This window comes from Homo sapiens, chromosome 4, assembly GCF_000001405.40.
Source record: "Homo sapiens chromosome 4, GRCh38.p14 Primary Assembly".
NCBI classification, from domain to species: Eukaryota; Metazoa; Chordata; class Mammalia; order Primates; family Hominidae; genus Homo; species Homo sapiens.
In genome coordinates, this window is record NC_000004.12 from 8,145,953 (window position 1) to 8,165,976 (window position 20,024).

The window sequence follows — 20,024 nt, forward strand, 5'->3', positions numbered from 1 at the left end:
CAAACCCGCCACTAGCATGTCCTTAAAATGGATCAGCAGTGAAAACATAGAACAGCAAAGCATTAGGAACAAAGGAAAATTGCCCATGATCCTAGCACATTTTTTTTCTGAGATGTTTTTCTGCATCTTTTGCAGACTGTAAGAAATGATGCGTCCTGTATTCTTCGTCTACCACCAGCCTTCACATAGACTTTATTCATGCTTCATAATATTTTTAATGCACAATATTCCATCTTTTATCAGCAGCTGTCAAAGTATGGTCTAGGGCAGTCCTCAGGACCTCACACAGGGTTTGGTGGTCAAAATCCTTTCAATAACAACACGAAGATATGGTTTCCCTTTTCACTCTCAGTCTGTCCTGAGTGTACAATGGAGTTTTGCAGAGGCCGCATGACATGTGACGTCACAACTGATTTAACACAGGGCAGACGTCAGAATCCAGCCGTCACCTACAAAGTCAGATATTAATGAGATTTGCAAAGCTGTAAAGCAGTGCCTCGGCTCGCTAAAAATGCTCTTATGTTAGCGTGCAGAGCAGTCATTGTCCTTTTGCGGTTTAACACATTTTTTATTTTTCAATTTTCATTTATTTATATATATTTTTGGAGACAGGGTCTCACCGTGCCACCCAGGCTGGAGTGCAGTGGTGCAATCATGGCTCACTGCAGCCTCAACCTCCCAGGCTCAAGCGATCCTCCTGCCTCAGCCTCCAGAGTAGCTGGGACTAGGCACATGCCCAGCTAATTTTTTTATTTTTTGTAGAGGCGGGATCTCACTATGTTGCCCAGGCTGGCCTTGAACTCCTGAGCTGAAGTGATCTGTCCACCTTGGCCTCCCAAAGCGCTGGGATTACAGGTGTGAGCCACCATGCCCAGTCAACAAATGTTTTTTTAAATTGTTTTAATTTCGAATACAATAAATATCAAGAAATATAATGCACATAAGCAAAAGCTCTCTGGGGTCCTCAGTAATTGAACCCTGAGGCCCTAGAAGTTTGATAAATGCTGCCATAGATGGACAGGAATTTCCTTAGCCAGTGTTCTGCGGTTGGACATTTACGTTGCAGAGCATGTAACCCCTGCAATCAACGGCTTTTTATTTCTGAAATTCATGTCTGTGTTTCAGAGGCTTTCTTCAGAAGAGATTCCCAGAAGTCGCATTATTCCATCAAAAGGCATGAATGTATTTAAGTCTCCATACATTTCACCTAACTGCTCCTCAAAAGATTAGACCAATTCATATTCTTATCCACAGTCTGTGACAGGATCTAACTCCCGGGACGTTTAAATTTAGCGAGTAACATTTTTTTTATCCTATGAGAAGTCATTCTCACTCTCTCATCCATCCTAGAGACTCCACAGGGAGAAGAAAAGGTATTGACCCGGTAAACAGGATGCACCAAGAGACTACCTGTGCCCGGCTGAGTAATGCCTCCCCCAGAAGATATCCCCATCTAATCGCTAAAACCTGTGACATATATGGTTAAAAGGGGAGGGGTCTTTGCAGATGTGATTTACATAAAGCGTCTAGAGACTGGGAGATGATTCTGGATGCTATGGGCGGGCTCTGAGTGCAATCTCAAGAGTCCTTATGGGGAGGAGGGAGCGGGAGACGACACACACAGGGGAGAAGTAGCATGAAGATGGAGCTGAGGGAGGTTTGAAGACTCTGCCTTGAAGATTGGAGCAACGTGGCCACAAACCTCAGAATCTGGCAGCCACCAAAGCTGCAGGGGTGAGGACTGAGCCTCCCCTGAGCCCCCGAGGGAGCTGCCAGCGCCGTTTAGCCTCGGACACTGACATTGAACTGCTGGCCTCCAGAGCTGGGAGGAAATGCCTTCTCTTGCTTTAAGCCTCCCAGCTTGTGGTCACTGGTGACCGCAGCCCCTAGACACTCACAGGTGGCCTTTGCCCAGCACTCTGGTTGTGCCATCTTCCCTGAGCGAGGCACGGACCTGCACAAAACCCTTTCTTTAATGGGTGAATCGCCCTTTAATCACGAAGTCAGCCCTAGGCCCAATATCCCAGAAGAAGGGGCACGAGTCAGGGCCCAGCTGCAGACCAACCCCAAACTCTGGTGTGGTTCCCTGAGGCCCAGGTGGGCAGGCAACAAGGGATAGTGGCCCGACCTTGCTGGGGGAGAAACCCCTCACCAAAGCCCACCATGCGCACCTTCCCCGGCAGAGAAGGGGTTTGGAGTGGCAGGAGGCAGGGGCAGAGGGAGAAAAGGAAGACGTGGCGGCGGTGCAGCAGAAGCTCTCCTGTGGGGGCCCTGGGCCAGGCAGGTTCTGAAGGGCCCAGTGTGTCTGGAGGGGAGAGGATGAGCTGGTGGATGAGAGGGCTGCAGCTGCAGGTGACCTAAGCAGCACTGTGGGCCTGCGGAGGCCTCCCCACTGGATTCCAGAGGGGGCTCTGGGCCTACAGTGAAGCAGGGCCCACAGGAGGTGAGGGAGCCGCTCAGGACGCGGGGGGGCCATGGCGCACCACAGTTAGGAGTGCGGGTTCTGCAGCTGGCACGGTGCTTCTCAGCCGAATCACCTCGGGAGAGTTACCTAATTCCCTGGGCCTCCGTTTGCTCACCTGTGAAGTGGGAATACTGGTAGTCCCGAGCAAGGAGCTCTGATGTAAGGATTATAGGGTGAAAGCACATCGCGGTGCTGGGTCCACACTGGGGAAGCGCGTAAGCCGTTCCCCCGTGGGCATGCACAGCAGAGTCCTGCTTGCCTGGAAGCAAATGCTACATCCCAAGGTGTCCATTGCCCCAAACCACACAGGAACTCAGAGTCGGAAAGATCCTCTAGGACAAGCCCAACCCCAACAGAGATGAGGAGGCCAAGGCTCAGGGGGTACATGGCCTGGGCTGGTTCCTGGACCCCCACCTCTCCATGAGACCACCCCTATCTCCTCCCAGAGCTGCTGATGTACCAAGAAACCTGGGCTCCGCAGGCACCCGGGAGATCAGGCCACGCCAGGACCCGGGATCTGGAGGCACCAGGGAGAGTCCAGCTGTGCCAAGGCCCAGGGTCCCCAGACACTACGGAGAGTCAGGCCACGCTGAGATCTGGGGTCCCCAGATACCAGGGCAGATCCAGCCAGAGTGTGAAGGGGTCTGTAGGGCTGGGGCCATCTGGAGGCTCCGGGGGAGATCCACTTCCGTGCCTCTTCCAGCTTCTAGGGGCACCCGAGTTTCTTGGTGTGGGGCCCCTCCCTTCATCCTCAGAGCCAGGCGTGGAGACTTCTCTCTCCTCTCTGCTGCCTCCTGCCTCCCGTTAGCGAGAAGCCTCAGGCCCCCTGAAATCCAGAGCAGTCTCCCTGTGGCAAAATCCTTCACATAGTCGCATATGAACAGTCATTTTGCCGCATGAGGTCACATAGTCACAGGGCCTGGGATTAGGACATGGGCACCTTTGAGTCCACTGTTCAGCCCCCCAACACCATCCAAGAGGAGGTATTTCAGAGAGGGCAGGTCCCAGCTCCAGGCTGCAGAGCAGGCAGGAGCAGGCACAAATCTCCACAGGAAACCCCAGCTTGGTCTGTGTCCACAGGTTCAGAGGAAGGAGGGAAGCAGAGGGCCTAGAGATGGGAAGAAAGCTTCACAGAGGCCCTGGAGTCCGGCAGAGCCTTGAAAGGGAGAGGAGGAGGGACTCCAGGGGAGCGGGGGCAGGCAGAAGGCGGCAGGAAGAATGCAAGGCTGTTGGGGGATCAGGGCAAAGACAGCACATAGTAGGTGCTTAATAAATAGTCGTGGAGGGACAGAAGGGACATTCTGGAAGAGCTCTGAGCCCTTGGGAGGCTGTTGACTGCTGGACACAGAGAAGGCCCGGACCTAGGCTGAGACTTCCCCAGCACCTCACACTCAGGACTGGCCCTGCGCCCAGACAGGACGGGGCCTATGGAGTAAGACCCCACACAGCCGGTCCCTCTGTGGGACGATTCAGAGGCTCCCAGTGGGACTGAGTCCCCACTTGCCAGAGTGGTGGCCCCCATCCAAATGCCCCCTCCTGGCTTCCCCTCCCTTCCCCCCTTACCCTCCTCACACCTCCCTCGTGCTTCCTGGGGTCACCTCCTAGGTAAACCACCTGCACCCAAGTTCCCACTGCACCTACTCAGGGAGCCTAAATGGAGAGAGTTGTGGGGCAAAGGGGTTGGAACATCATGAGGGCATTTGAAACTAGGCTGCCAGGTTGAAGGTCTGGATGCTCCTTGGAATTCTTCCTTCTGGGCACTTCGTGTCCAGCTGCAGCATCAACTGATGTCATTTTCCATGTGCGATCCCGGGGACACTGAGGTCTGCAGAAGCAGAGGGTCAGAGAGACAGGCCAGGCTGTCTTATGGAATGACGGCAGACAGATGAGGAGGCCATGCTGAACTGGGGACGGAGTTCCACCCATCACACATCCTCCACTCCTTGGGTGTTCACGAAATGCCTCCTCTCATTCTACCTGAGTGGCTTTCAGGGGAGCCAGTACAAGGCCCCATCGTGCCCTGAGGACAGACGCCAGCGAGGACAGAGGCAGCATGCTAGCCGCAGTGACACTGAGCACTTTTCTTGGTGCGCTGGCTGGACTCACATTTCCAGATCGTCTCTCTAACTCGTCTCTCTAAGCACAGAGAAACCAAAGTCCCAAACTTCCAGCACAGGGTGCGAGCTCCGTGCCGGAGGCGGGAGGAGCCACTGCTGCTGCCTGGGATGGGGGCTGCTCAGTAGAATGCAGCTAAAATGAAGCTTCGAGCTGAGACCGATGACTCAAGACACCACGCCTCCTGAGGATGCTGTGCCGAGAAAACCGGGAGCTGGGTGGCTCTCTGGAGACGGTGCTTCTCCTGGCACTGGGCTGCAGCCTTGTAACCAGGACTGAGATGGGGCTGGCAGGGGAGACAGCAGGACCAGAGAAGGGGAGGGGAAGCTATGAACCCAGCCTAGGGTGTGGCTGATGATGCCAAAGCGGCTCCCACGGGGCACGACGTCAGGTTTGTCCCTGAGCTGTGAAGGGTATTTACAGCTGTGACAAAGGCCATTCTGCCCGTTCCCTGGTGCCTGCCGTGCCCAGGCCCTTGACTCTCACTCAGCATCTCTGAGTCTACAGTAACCCCTCAAAAGCAGCTGTCATCACCTGTACTTTTTATGTGGGGAAACTAAGGCAAAGGGCATTTAAACAATCCGCTTGGAGAAACACACAACTAGCAAGTGACGATTGGGGCTGGAGCCCAGGTGTGCCCAGCCCCAAAGCCAGTGCATCTTCTGAGGCACCCAGACTGGCCCCCTCACATTTGGAAATGTTCAGCCAAGGGAAGTGACATGAAGCCACCCAGCTCGTTATCCGCAGCAGACCTGTTTGTTGTAGGCCTGGAAGCTGCTGATGGCGAGAAGCCCCAGAGCCAGCCCTGGCACCCACAAGGACCAGTGAGCGTCCCAGAATCCAAAGCCCCCTCCTCCGCCCCAGTCCTTCCCACAGACGCGAGGGACCCAGCTGCCCTCCTAGCTCGAGCTCCAGGCAGACATCCACAGAAGCTGCTAATCCACAGGCGGCAAGGCACCTCCCTCCACGCCAGAGACCCTCAGCGTGAGGCCCAAGTACTGCTCACCCAGCTGGGAGCATCTCGAGAGCCAGATGAGAAAGGTGGGCGCAGCAGGGTCCCTAAAATGGCAGCCAGGCCTCACACCCAAACAGTGGGCGGGGTGGGGCGGTGGTGTCAGAAGAAAGCAGGGTTGTACCCCGAGGATGGCAGTGGCCCTGTTTTTACAGATGGGTACACTGAGGCACAGAGGGACGATGACTTGTCCAAGGTCACAGAGGTCCAGGCGAGGGGCTGGAGACGCTGCTGGGCTGGGCTGTGTAAGCAGGGGGAGAGGCACTGCCTTCAGTGGAACAGATGGGCCCTGGGGGGATTGCAGGACTTGGGGTGGGGGTGGGGGAGTCGGAGCAGAGGGTCAGGGTTCCAGGGGGGCACATGGGCTCAATGTGGTGAAAGTCCTTCTCAGGCCCAGGCTATCTGAGGGTGAGTCACAGAGGCCATGCAATGACGCTAGGCAGGAACCCCCATAGGAGGCGGGTTTGGGTCTTGTCCTGCCTCCTGGCTCTGTGCTGGCAGGTCCCGCAGCTGGAAAATGGGAATAACACACCACGGCCCAGGCGAGAAGATGGGCTGTGTGAGACCCTCACCAAGAAGCGCCATCATGATGCCCCCAAACGGGCCAGGCTTTATCCACACCAACACTCAGCCACGCGTTATGAGGCAGCAACCAATCCCCCACAGCCACCGGCTAAAGCACGCAGGCAGGGGATAGGCAGACAGCGCCCGCCTAGCCAGGGATACGCGTGTTGCGGCTGAGTCGGGCACACTGGGGTTCAAATCCCAGCGCTGCCATTTACAAATCACGTGACACCAGGCACCAGACGGGACTCGCAGGCATTTCTTCCTCCGTAGGTAGAGATGCCACCGGCCGCTCCGAGCAGCGCTGCGAGGACCCCGGGAGGAAACCTATACGAGCATCTGGCCCAGGGCCCCAGGGCGGCACTTGATGAGCCGCAGTCTCTGCGACATTTAAGCCTGTCCCACCTGGGTGCTGCCCGACACCCTAGACACCCTGAGCAGCCCTGGCGATGGAAAAATTCCTTGAGTAAATTAAGACTGCTCGACTCGGGTTGCTCTGTGCTGGGTGCGAGCCTCGGAGGTCTGCTCTTTCGGGGCTTCCCCGGGACTGGGACAGCCGCGTCCATCATGCGGGGATGACTGCAGGACCCATGTGATCAGCCTCAAGCACTAGGAGCTATCCCAGGACATGACCCATGTTTTCCTATTGCAACTATTTTAACAACCTCTGTGAGCCTCTACCACGTGCCAGGCAGAGACTGGTCAGCTCATGAGACCCTCAATCCCTACCAAGACTCTGGGGAGGGGCAGCAATGGAAAGAAGGACACAGAGGTCTTATCTTTGATCATGCTAGCAAGTGGCAGGGCTGGGTGTGAGCCTGAGACCCCACTTCAAGGTAGGTTTTACGGAGCCCTACCCAGGCAGAGGCACAGCCAAGGGGTGCAGCAAGGAAGGGCCCTAAGTATCTTTGCAGGGAAGGGACTATGGAATCTAGGCTCTGGGGTTGGTTGATGGCATCAGGCCAGCAGCCTGATCTGGCTTCAAGGATAGGCAGTGCCCGCTTAAAGGGCCAGCGACAAGACAGGCCCCTTCATCTCCCAGTCTTGCCAATTTCCTCTCGAGCTCAGAGGTCTCCCGTGACCCAGATGATGCTCTGGAAGCCCAGGGTGCGGGCCAGGCAGCTTTTCCATGAGTCAGGGACACACACCTTTTTCTGGGACAGTAAGATTGAACTTTCCAAGAGTTCATCAAACTCAAGACTTGATTCTACAAAATATCCTATCTACCCCCAAACCATCTCATTGACAGAAACCATAAAGAGTCAAAGGATCTTGAGTGGCCAGGTTAGGAAGGAACCCTGCACATCACGGAAGAACAGGGCAGAGCTTGGGGGTGACCAGGTTAAGCGGAGACTGCCAATGCCTGGGCAACGGCAGTCCTCTCCAGATACAATCTCAGATGAATTTCTGGGTCAGGGGGGTCTGGCTTCTGCTGCACCTCATTCAGAGTGGAGTCAGGCAGGGAAAATCTGCAGCAGTGCAGCTGCCTGTGCTAAGCTCCCTCGATGCTGGGAGACACCCCCATCCCACGCAGCAGATAGTGGCCCTGCAGAACGGAATCGCCGGGCTTCTCCCGGAGTGATGGGTTTCTACCAGCGCTGGAGGCAGAGTGTGCTCTCTTCTTTCCATTTGATCTTTCAGTACAAAAGAAAAGGGCACACAATGAAGAAAACTTGGAAAACACATGGAAAGTAAAAAGGTGCAGAAGACGGAAAACTTTGTTCCTTCTCCCACATCTTACAGATGGGCACCGACGGCACTTCCCGACATTGCCTCCCTCACTGTTTCTGTAGAGTTGACATCCTATATGAAATACAATTTTGTCCTGAGCTGTTTTCTAAATTAAACTTCTTTTCTTTTTTTTTTTTTTTTTGAGATACAGTCTCACTCTGTCGCCCAGGCTGGAGTGCAGTGGCGTGATCTCGGCTCACTGCAAGCTCTGCCTCCCAGGTTCACGCCATTCTCCTGCCTCAGCCTCCCGAGTAGCTGGGTCTACAGGCACCTGCCACCACGCCCAGCTAATTTTTTGTATTTTTAGTAGAGATGGGGTTTCACTGTGTTAGCCAGGATGGTCTCCATCTCCTGACCTTGTGATCCACCCGCCTCGGCCTCCCAAAGTGCTGGGATTACAGGCGTGAGCCACCGCACCCAGCCACTTATTTTCTTTTCTTTTCTTTTTTTTTTTTTTTTTTGGAGACAGAGTCTTGCTCTGTCACCAGGCTGGAGTATAGTGGCACGATCTCAGCTCACTGCAACCTCTGACTCCCTGGTTCAAGCGATTCTCCTGCCTCAGCCTCCTGAGTAGTGGGGATTACAGGCACCCACCACCACACCCAGCTAATTTTTGTATTTTTAGTAGAGATGGGGTTTCACCATGTTGGCCAGGATGGTCTCAATCTCCTGACCTTGTGATCCACCCGCCTCGGCCTCCCAAAGTGCTGGGATTACAGGCGTAAGCCACCGCACCCGGCCAATTAAACCTGTTTTCTTAAGCATTTTCTCCTAACATTAGAAATTCTTTACATATGTAGTTAATTCTTCATGTGGGTAGTAACTTCATATACATCTTCCCCACCGCCCAATTAGAATGTAAGTTCAAGAGAACATAGATTTTGGGTTGTTCTCGTCTGTTGCTGAATCCCAGGGCCTGGAGCAGCGTGGGCTCACGTATTAGTCTGTTCTCATGCTGCCAATAAAGACATACCCAGGACTGGGTAATTTGTAAAGGAAATAGGTTTCATGGACTTACAGCTCCACATGGCTAGGGAGGCCTCGCAATCATGGCGGAAGACGAAGGAGGGGCAAAGGGACGTCTCACATGGCAGCAGGCAAGAGAGCGTGTGCAGGGGAACTGCCCTTTATAAAACCACCAGCTATCGCCAGCCTTAATCACCACCATGAGAACAGTATGGGGGAAACCACCCCTGTGATTCAATTATCTCCACCTGGCCCTGCCCTTGACACGTGGGGATTATTACAACTCAAGGTAAGATGTGGGTGGGGACACAGCCAGACCGTATCAGCTCATAGTAGGCATTTTGTGCATCTTTGCTGAATAACGAGTGAGTGAGATGGAACAGATGGCTCATATTCCATCACTGGCTTCCACGGTTTGGTGGTTTCTAACATTTTGTTGTTACTAGTAAGTCTGAGATGAATGTTTCTGTGGCTACATCATTGCCCATTCTTGGATTAGGTGAAGAAATGTGTCTCTGTTCCAAATACTAGGATCTGCACCGTCCACAGTCTGGGGACTAGGGCTCAGGTTCGGGCTCTGCCACATCCTCTCCTTGGCCCTGGACAGCTGCTTTTCCTTCCCTAAACCTTGGTTTCCCCCTTTGTGCAGGTGGGTGGGTTTGGGCTGGAACATTCCTCATGTCCCTTCCAGTTCCATGATCCTAAGAGCAGCATGGAAACAGAAGGCTGAGCCAGCCACAAGGCCGCCCTTGGCCCCGCACCCCTGTTATGGACTGAATTGTCTAAATTCATATGCTGAAGTCCTAACCCCCAGTACTCCAGGATGTGACTATGCATGGAGACAGGACCTTTAAGGAGACCACTAAGGTGAAACGAGGTCATGAGGGTAGGCTCTAACCAAGTCTGGCTGGGGTTTTCATAAGAACAGATTAGGACACAGACACACACAAAGGGAAGACGGGACGAGGACACAGACACACACAAAGGGAAGACGGGGCGAGGACACAGACACACACAAAGGGAAGACGGGGCGAGGACACAGACACACACAAAGGGAAGACGGGGCGAGGACACAGGGAGAGGGCGGCCGTCCACAAGCCAAGGAGAGGGGCTTTGGAAGGAAGTAACCCAGCTGACACCTTGATCTCAGACTTCTGGCCTCTAGAATCAGCAAAAAAATAAGTGTCTTCTCTTTAAGCCACCTGGTCTTTAGTACTTTGTTATGGAGCAAATTAACACAACCCCTCAGGAGCCTCTGTCCACCTGGGGGAATCTGATCTGCCAGGCCAGCAGCTGCCCAGGAGGATATTTAGGCTCAGAAGGAGCACAGGCCTTGCTCAAGGATCTGGTGCCCACTGGTGGCAGACCTGGCACTGGAATCCCCCCACCCCACCCCCTGCCCCAGCTCAGGTACCTTCCTCAACCCCACCCCCTACTGGTCCCCTTGTGACCACATGGGCTGCAGTGAGATGAAGCTACACCACACTGATTGTCACTTGCTGGGCTCACCATGTGTGGACTGGCCGGCCATACTACTGGGGAAACTGAGGCAGGGGGCGCCCCACAGCTAGGACATTGGATTCGGATCCAGGCCTGTCTGGTATGGGATGCCATCTCCTTCCACCTTGCCATGTGCTATATAAACAATCGCTCTGGCCACCTGAAATCAACAGGCAACAAAAGTAAGGCAACTGCATGGCCTCGATCCACACCTGGGTCATCCTGGAGGTGCCCTGTGTCAGGAACTGAAGACATGGACACAGCCCAAAGGAACAGGGAGCCTGCAGCACACGAGGGTTAGACAGGCTGCCCTGGGCTCTAAGCCTTCGGCCCATTTGGGCAGCTGGAGACTGGACCAGATGATGCTCAGCCACTCCTACCAGTGCTGAGCTCTGGAATAATGCCAGCGGGTGTGGGGAGGGCCACAGGGGACCTGCCCTTGTTGCCCTTGTTGATGATGGAAGCTCCTGTCCTGCCAGACATACACAGTGGCCGGACGTTAGAGCCCACATGCCAGGAACAAGGGACCATGCTGTCTGCTCTCCCCCACTGTGTGGGTGGAATGCCTGCTGTGCGCATCATCGGCTGGGGACAGGGCTGGGCAGGGGCGACAGGTGGCCCGGAGAGCACACATTGCCAGTTCCAAAGGGCTGGATTGATTCAGAGGGTCTGAGCTGAGCTGGCCACCCAGCAATGACCATCCCAAACTACCGAGGGCCTCCCAGGTGTGGGGCTCTTCATGTTGTACCTTGTCCCCTCCAGGCAACCAATGCTACTGCTCTTACAGGTCAGGAAGCCAAGCTCTGGAAGGTGCCACCTATGCCTAAGACCACCAGGCAGTCACCATGGTTCAAACCCCAGTCTCTGCCCCCAACTGCCCCAGTGCCCCCACACCCCTTCTCGTCAGATGCAGAGGAGAGATGCCAGCACTGCTTCTGAGGCTCTCCCTGATGACAGGGGGGACCACAGGTATCAATTATGGCCACAAGAAGCATAAAATTACTCTGTGTGCACCCAGCCATTATCCCCACCTGCCATTAGATAAATGTGTCTGGAGGTTCTGCCAAGTCTCAGGGTGCCCTGCTCCCCAGCCACTCCCAGATAACTAGGTTGGCCATTTCAGAAATCCTCTTCCAAAGGGTTCTGCCTCTGACCTCCCCAACCGCCTGCCATTGCTCTCAGCTACTCCCAAAGGCTCCCGGCAACGCCGTCCCTCCTTCCTTGGATTGGAGGGGGAGGGAGACAATCTCCCCAGGGAGGGGAGTCCCTGGCCCTTAGCCCCCGCCCCCTTCTAGGCCTACAGCCCACAGGAAGCTCTTACTAAATTCACATTCTCTCCCCAGTCCGATCTCCCTCAGGGGAAGCGGCTGTCCCCATTGGTTTCTGCACCATGGCCAAGGGCCATACTGCAGTCCCTGGCGCGACAGGCTTAGAGGAAAGAGCACAAGAGTCAGTGAGCCCGGGGTTCGAATCCCCGCCCCCCCTTCCTGAGCCAAGCAAGTGACTCAAGCCTGGTGCGCCTCGGGTCACACCCTGAAAAATGGGGTGACAGCCCTTCCCTGCCGGGAATGCAACGACAAGCCCTCAGCCCGGTGCGGGCCCCAGGAGGCTCTCAGATCCGGGCATCCTCAGGCCGCCTCCAGGGCTCACCGCCAAGGGCTCCAGTTCTAGGTCTCAGTTTCCCCAACAGCACAAGGCGCGGCTGGGCTCCAGCGCTGTGGGATTTTTCCAGCCCCGCACAGAGGCTGTCAGATCCCGGAGGGTGGGTGCGGCGGGAAAGGCAGGGGTGCGACGCGCAGGGGCGAGGGGCTGGAGACGCGCAGAGATCGGGTCGGGGCCGGGTCTGACACATGCGGGCTCCGGGTCCCCAGATCTGCTGCGGAGAGTCCTGGGCGCCGAGGGTCGGCCTGACGCCCCCAACCCAGGCGCTGCCAGAGCGGCGCAAGGGCGGCGCCCCCAGCTGCAAAGCCCCGCCTATCATCTCACCTCTGCGTGCCTAGGTCTGCTGGGGCCCCGGCCCTTCGCCCGGACCCCAGGCCCCCGCGCGGACCCTGACCGCTTTCTGCAGCCTGGAACAACCCGGACCCCCGTGAGAAGCAAAGAAGGGGCGCCTTCCAGACATCCTGGCGCAGCCACGCCGGCCGGCGCGCTGGGAAAGGATCCCCGGCCCGCGCCACTGAGCTACGCGCTCCGGGCGCAGGGCAGAGGGCTGCGCTCTGGCCCCTCGGGGCTGCAAAATCCTGGAGCAAAAGTTGGGTGGAGCCGCTGGGTGATTTTCCCCGGCGTTGCAGGTGCAGCCTCCGAATGCCACCCAGCCCTTGCGGCGCCGCGAGCCAGCGCGGGGACCCGTTGGTCCCTCGGTCCCCAGCACCCACCTGCACTCATCTCAGCAGCCGCTCGGAGTCGGGGCGGCCCGGCGCTGCGACAGCCAGACCCTCGGGCCCGCAGGTGCCGCGCCCGCGCTATCCTCCGCCCGCCCGCCGGCTCCGCGCCCGCTCCTTGCGCACACGCCAGGCAGCGCCGCCGCAGCCCCACGGCGCGCAGGCCACGCCCGTGCCACGCCCACTCTCACGCCCCTCCTGGCGGCCCCGCCCCGCGCCCCCGCTGCCGCCCGGGAGCACCCTGGGAAGTGTAGGCACCTCGACGCCACCGCTCCGCCTGGCTCCCCAGCTGCGGGGCGATCGGACTACAAGTCCCAGCACGCTTCGCGGCCAGCGCAGGCGCAGACGGGCGACGGCGGCTGAGGCCTTTCGCAATCGTTCTTAGATCTCTGCAGAGCTGTCGCCACGGCCTGAGGGGCGACGTGGGGACTGCCGCTCACGGAATCCGGGAGTCGCTAGGAGAGCGGCGCAGGGAAAAGCGAGCTTGGTGCAGCTCTTCTTGAGTAGTCGAGCTACAAGGCGCCTGAAGACCTTCTGGGCCAACTCTTCTTTACCAGTTTACAGAGAGGGAAACTGAGGCGGGGGCGGTGCTCGGGCAGGATTAGCCCGCATCCGTCGGCGAGGCTTGCACTGGTGGGGATTCGTGCGCAGGTTTCCTGCCTCCGGGCTTGGGCTGTCCGCGCCTCGCCACCCACCCCAGGCTCCCGTCGCTCCTCGCCGGCTGGCGCCCAGCTGGGGGGTGCACCGGGAGAGGTGGCGCGGCTCACTTCGGCGCAGTCCCCGGCCCCAGCCTCCACGGTGACCGGCTACCCTGTGACATCAGGCGCCCAGCACAGGGCCTGGACGCGGGTGCAGGAGAGGGAGTCAGGGAACGGGGAGGAGCAGGGGTCCCCACTGTGTGCCTGGTGCGACAAAAGGCGAGCTGCAGAGAGGTCGGGAGGAGCCGGCAAACACAAGGATGCCCACCAGGCGCGGAGGGCCTGGGCTGGAGGAGCATTTAGGATGCAGAATCGCGGGAACCTGGCATGGAGAGAGAGGCCAAGGACTTTTGGCTTGGGCCAGGGCTGTTTGGAGATGCTTTCAACAAGTGGAAGAAGATTGGGCACAGAAAATGTAGACTGAATGGAACACTGAGGCAGGAGCAGGTACTCCTCCCCCTCCCTCAGCAGCAGCCATCTCCCCCAAGAGGGGCCAGGATGGGAGGCCAGGAGTACAGTGGCTCAGTGGGGGAGCTGAAGTCCTGGGGAACCAGCCAAGCCCCACACACCCTAGAAATCCAGGAGGCCCAGCTAGGTGATTCTGCCCGCAGCCGCAGGGTTCCCATGCCAGTCCACTGGGATCTTGTGCCATGTAATTGAGGGGGCGCCAGATCTAAGGATCAGTGAACTAATGTGTGCCATGACCCAGTGTGAGTTGAGATCAATAAATGTCTTTGCTTTGCTATTATTATTCTCTGTGGCTAACATAGGGCCTGGCACAGAGCAGGCAGTCTGCAAATATCTGTTGAATAAACGGAGAGAAGGATAGAGGGGAGGGGAGAGTGCTGGCACCTGGCACTCCTGGATCATAGCCTGAGAGGTAGGCCAGGCACCCACCTGCCGTAGGTACACCCTGCTGCCACTTGCCCTCTAAGGAGCTCTCGGTCAGGCTCCCCCGCAGCCTCTGTTTCCTCCCTCTGTTTCCAAAGGCTCCTGAGAACCTCCCAGGGGTGCCATGATTTCCCCCACACAGCCTGGTGAGGACGGCAGGGAGCCCTCACACCTCTCTGCCAAGACCCTGTGAGCCAGAGGGTGGATGTGGGTGCCCCATTCCAGACTGGTTCCAGAGCCCAGGACAAGGGGCTGGGGAGCCTTAACAGTTCTCAACCTGGAAGGGCCTCGGGGCCATGTGGTTCCAACATCTTCTTTCACAAGGGCAGAAACCAAGGCCCAAAGACATACTGCCTCAAGTCACCCAGCAAGTTAGTGACAGGGTGGGGCTTGAGCCAGGTCTTTTCTTTCCTTCCTGCTCCGTGTCTGCTGAACTGGGACTTCAGCGAATCTGCTGGTTGAATTGAATCGATTGAAACAGACTTGGTTCTCTGTCCATGGTACTACAGGCCAGGTGTGACCTCAGGCAACTTGCTTGCCCTCTGTGTGCCTCAGTTTCTATATCCTTCAACTCACAGTGCATACATACCCCTTAGGATTCTCAAACACCTTCAGTGTGCTGGGCTTTCTAGTCCTAGTGAAGAAGATAGACAAGAAATCATTTCACATGCCACAAGATTCATTCTAGAAAAATGCTGCCCCTCTTATTTTTTAGCAGGCCTGGTGGGGTGTCAGGGGGTCTTCAAGGGGCTCATGGACACAGGGAGGCCCCAAATATGTCAAACCAAGGTCCTTTAAAGGTTTATTAAAAGGGGACCGGGCGCGGTGGCTCGCGCCTGTAATCCCAGCACTTTGTGAGGCCAAGGTGGGAGGATTGCTTGTGCTCAGGAATTTGAGACCAGCCTGAGCAACATGGCAAAACCCTGTTTCTATAAAAAATACAAAAATTAGCTGGGTATAGTGGTGTGTGCCTGTGGTCCCAGCTACTCTGGAGGCTGAGCTGGGATGATTGATTGAACCTGGGAGGCGGAGGTTGCAATGAGCCATGATCGGACCACTGTACTCCAGCCTGGGTGACAGACCCTATCTCATGAAAAAAAAAAATCATTAAACGTGCATTTAGAGGAGGGCCTTGGTGGGTACCTTGGAGGGTACCAACATGGAAGCAGGAGCCCCTGCCCTCCTCCTCCAGCCTCAGCTCACATGCCCTTCACCACACAGGGAAGCCCTGCAGTGACCCATGCCTCCTTCCAGCAGGCAGCGGGTAGAGACCTGAACTCCGGGGGCTCCCTTCTACCTCCAGTGCTTATCCAGGTTCCCTGGGGGCTCCCATCCCATTTCAGTGGGGATCCTATCAAGCCCCTGATAGGCGGGTGCCCCAGGCAGTGACCTTGAAGGCCCCAGGCCCCATTTGCCCATTTCCACACCCACACTTGGAGCACGGCCCTTGGCTGCACCGCTCCTGCCTGAGAATCTGCCTGCTTCACTGGACTGTGGACTTCTCTGCTCTGCAGAGAGGAGTCTTATACAGGGGAAGAAACTTGGCCCAGGCTTCTCATTCCGGGAAGCACTAGGGGGAAAGCTAGAGTTTTCCAAGGCACCAGCGTAAAGGGCAGGATTTCCTTCACCCCTCCTGGTGCCCCTGGCTGGAGGCTTCAGGAGGCACCCCTGGCCTGGCCTCCCTGGGACGCGCTTTCAGGCACTCTGCTTTCTTTTGAGATTAGGAGACACTTAGAGGTGATGTGTCCACCTTTCCCCTGCTCTATGATGGGGTGCTCTGGGCTTCGGGGAGGACAGCAGTGTTATGGGGGTCTGCCAGGTGCCGGCCCAGGGCCAGCAGGAAGGTGACAGGCCCACAGGAGGCCAGAAGACAATGGTCAGAACCCCCAGTAGGACCCTGGGGGAAACAAGAGCACCCCCTCCTTCTGAGTGTCCTAACCACTATTATGGGATGTTGGTTGTTCCAGCGATGGAGGGAGCAGAATGCAGAGAGGGCAGCCCCAGGTCCGTGGCCTATCACACCCCAGGTCAAACCATCCGAAGCCAAATGCTGCTTCCCTGGGGCTCCAGGTTTACATGTGGGGTCCCGGACCCGCTGATAGAGGCAGCCATAAAAAAACAAAAAGGCAGCCAGGTGCGGTGGCTCATTCCTGTAATCCCAGCACTTTGGGAGGCCGAGGCTGGCAGATCACGAGGTCAGGAGTTCGAGACCAGCCTGGCCAACATGGAGAAACCCCATCTCTACTAAAAACACAAAAATTAGCCGGGCGTGGTGGTGCACGCCTGGAATCTCAGCTACTGGGGAGGCTGAGGCTGGAGAATTGCTTGAACCTGGGAGGCAGAGGTTGCAGTGAGCCGAGATCGTGCCATTGCACTCCAGCCTGGGTGACAGAGCGAGACTCTGTCCAAAAAAAAAAAAAAAAAAAAAAGAAATAACAAAAAGGCAATTCAACACAAACACGCACTTTCACAAATGTCTATTGAAAACAAAGCCAGGTGCTCGAGTGAAGAGCTGCGCCATGGCGTGTCTGGGGAATACTTTTCCTGCATGGCTGAGCTGGGTGAGGCTTCCTAAAATGTGAGTCCTGTGACCGCAGGTGGAGACTTGTTCTCTTCATGATAAATGCCCCCACCACAAGCACAGGCACCTGTCACTGCTCTATGACCTTTAAATTGCTTCAAAATTAGGATCATTTGTCCTGAAAAAGCTATTGCCCTTTCAGAGAGTGTGAAGCTCTCAGAAAGTGTAGAAGGACACATGCTGGGTGGGGTTGGGGGCTGAGGCAGACCCCACAGTGCCGGCCTCGCATGGACTGGGACAGGTGGGGCTGTGGGTTTCTTCAGGCTGGGCCAGGAGGGGCCAGGAGGGAGAGGGGCCAGCACCCCATGGGCTGGCAGCTGCTTTAGGGGGCAGGGGAGCCTTGATGGAGGGGTCCTGTCTAAGTCCCAGTGGGAGCAACTCCGGGCTGGCTCAGAGGTGGAGGGATGTGTGACACTGCACCCGAGAGCTCCCAGGGGCCAGGCCAGATGAGTCAAACAGTGACAGCCAGGACTGCTGTGTCCTTAGGGCTCTGCGCCAAGGCTCAGAGGACCCTATCATTGTCATCGTATCATCATCATCCCGATGTCACAGATGGGGAAACTGAGGGATTCACTTACCCAATTGAAAACTACGACCAAGTGGAGCAGGTAGGACGCACACCCAGGCCCTGCTGAAGAGAGAGCCCGTGGGCTTGGCTTCAGCCCCATGGCCCTCCGGAATCTGTCATCCCCTCCAGGGGGCATTCAAGAAGTCAAGGGATGAAGCTGGGAGTTGTGGGGTCCAGTGTGAGGTGCATGGCCAGGGGACCTGCTCCACTTGGCCCAAGCAATGCCAGGCCTGCTGCCCCCACCCTGGGCTGCTGGGAGTGCCGCATCTTCTCCCGGACAGCTCATGCTCACCCTCTGAACCTTGTTTTGAGATCCTCTCCTTGGATAAGCCTCCCTGGCCCTCTAGTGAAGTTGGGGGCCACCTCCACTCCCCCAGGGGGTCTCCAGCACAGAGGAGAGTGCCCACTGAACTGTGGGATCAGCAGGTACCCGCACTGCGGCTGCCACTCTCACTCAGCAATGGAAAGAGGTCAGACCCGCCTGAGCCCCTTTCCCACCGTCCTGACCTCTCCCTGGGTCTGCTGGGGTTTCCCACAAATTGCTTCTATGGAGAGCAGCACCGTGTGGCTGCGCTCACCTGGGGCCTGAGCTAGAAAGAAGGTGCCTGCTCTGGAAACCCAGCGGTACGGAAACGTTGCAAGTCAGAGACGCAGGGCAGCAGACAGAGCAGACGGCGTCCTGAGCCCATCAGGGGCTCTGCTCAGTAAGGGAGCCTCCAGGCTTTCTCTCACCAAAGCGGCAGGATTCCTTGTCCTTTCTTCATCTCTAAATACAGTCCAGGAATTGATTGACTTCACAGCCAAATGGAGAAACAAATGAAATATGATTTCATTGTGGGATCTTTCCAGCCGCTCAATAATTTAAAACCACGCCATACGAAACCAGGAGTAAAAATAGCATGTGACTCATGGCTTGGAGCCTATCTCTCAAGCACGGGTCCACACACCTGGATTCTCGCTAAGTCAGGCCCAGCCTCACCCTCGCATGCCCATGGCTTGCCTGATGCCTCCGGGTGGGTCAGGAGGGGAAGCGCAGCCCTGGGTTACACAGGTATCTGTTCTCCCTAACACCGGATCTATGCCACAGTTCCAGCTGCCCAGTTAACTCTGAGTGGTTTGTAGACTTGGCAATGCTTTGCCATCACAGAAAACTCACAAAAGATGGTTCATTACAAGTGATGGAAGGAAGTAGAATGTATAGGCCTGATTTGGGAATATGACCCACACCGTGCAAGGCTTGGATGTGGCTGGTCTTCTGAAAGCACTTCCTCCCATTAAACTTCATTCCTGTTCAGCAGAAACAGACGAGGACCGTCAGGAACACCTGGGAAGGAACGAGAATGGAAGAGCAGAGCAAGGGGCAAGGTCTGAGATGAGGTGCCGCCTCTATTCAGCACCTACTGCATGTCAGCCTCTGTGCTGGAAGTGAGATGAAGAAGCTCAGCTAGAGCAGGCAGGTGCATGAGTCAGCCGCGCTGCGGAACAGAGGACCGCAGGCTTTGCTGAAGGGGCTTGTAAAAGGGTAGGGCATCTCTCCCAGTGCCGGAGGCCGATCTCTTCATTCTGCCTCTGCTGTCACACAGCATTCTTCTGTGAATGTTCCCCTTCTGTTCTCATAAGGACACTGGTCCTAGGATGGAGGGCCCACCTTAATCCAATACTGTCTGACTTCATCTTAACCAGTCATGTCTTTGAAGACCTGATTTCCAAATAAGATCATATTCCTGGGGGCTAAATCTTGGGGTTAGGACTTCAACATATCTTTCTGGAAGGTACAGTGCACCCCACCAGAGGGGACCACCATTATTGGACCCCACAAGGGGCATGGTCTTCCAGATCTGTGGTCTGTGGGACCTGGGAGGAAAACTGCAGGTCTGAGGGCTCCCAGTTGGGGAGAAGAAATGGAAGCCCAGAGAGACAAAGTCACATGCAGCCAGGTCCCCAGGAGGCCAGAAGCCACAGTGCTCTCCCAGCCACCTGACCCTTGGTTGACAACCACACAGGCATACAGCCCTGCAGGGAACCCAGAAGGCAGCCATCCCTGACAGTGAGAGCAGCTCTTGTCCTGGGAAGGCAGATGGGTCCTGCCAGAAGCCTGGGCCTGGCCTTGTTGGCCTCACCGGCAAGCTCAAGCTTGCCCCCCAGCTGCTGATCAAGCAAGACATCGTGTCCCTTCTTAGCAACTTTGTCACCAGGCTGTGCTTCCCAGAGCTGCTGTGTGGGCATGGAAGGGATAAGGTTTCGAAGAAGCTTAATCAGGAGCCCTTGCCTGCATAACTTACAAAGTGCTTGTTCTGTGGGCCTCCCAATCGGGTGTTCCCTTGAGGTCATGGTGCTGAGTGTTACTCAGTCTGACAGACGAGACACTGTAGGCTCACCAAGGCTAAGAAATGTGCAGTCAGCTGGGAGGGGCTGGACCCGGCTCCCTGAGATGACCAGAGCAGAGCAGTCTCCACTAGAATTTCTTCTTTGGCTATGGCCAAGCTGCTTGGAGCAGGAATTGCATGGTTTGATGATAACACTAGTGGTTTGATAATAATAAAATGACTTTAA

At 56.3% G+C, this 20,024-nt stretch overlaps 1 protein-coding gene across 14 annotated transcripts in view, besides 3 other annotated features; it reads right to left on the bottom strand.

Annotated features, from left to right (window-relative positions):
* ABLIM2 (actin binding LIM protein family member 2) overlaps nt 1–12,861 on the bottom strand; it is a 193,487-nt gene extending 180,626 nt beyond the window's left edge. For all 14 annotated transcript variants that reach the window (NM_001130086.2, NM_032432.5, NM_001130085.2 and 11 more), the window contains exon 1: nt 12,728–12,861. In NM_001130086.2, coding sequence (NP_001123558.1) covers nt 12,728–12,737 — 10 coding nt within the window. In that variant the 5' untranslated portion in view covers nt 12,738–12,861. The remainder of the gene's footprint in view (nt 1–12,727) is intronic.
* Nucleotides 4,199–5,073: an enhancer, noted in NCBI's record as "H3K4me1 hESC enhancer chr4:8151878-8152752 (GRCh37/hg19 assembly coordinates)". NCBI's record gives its function as "activates a minimal SCP1, AML or CMV promoter by ChIP-STARR-seq in primed H9 embryonic stem cells {active_cell/tissue: H9 hESC(primed)}" and the evidence as "EXISTENCE:reporter gene assay evidence [ECO:0000049][PMID:30033119]".
* Nucleotides 12,578–13,067: a silencer, noted in NCBI's record as "silent region_15256". NCBI's record gives its function as "represses an Ori minimal core promoter by ATAC-STARR-seq in GM12878 lymphoblastoid cells {active_cell/tissue: GM12878}" and the evidence as "EXISTENCE:reporter gene assay evidence [ECO:0000049][PMID:35858748]".
* Nucleotides 13,408–13,467: a silencer, noted in NCBI's record as "silent region_15257". NCBI's record gives its function as "represses an Ori minimal core promoter by ATAC-STARR-seq in GM12878 lymphoblastoid cells {active_cell/tissue: GM12878}" and the evidence as "EXISTENCE:reporter gene assay evidence [ECO:0000049][PMID:35858748]".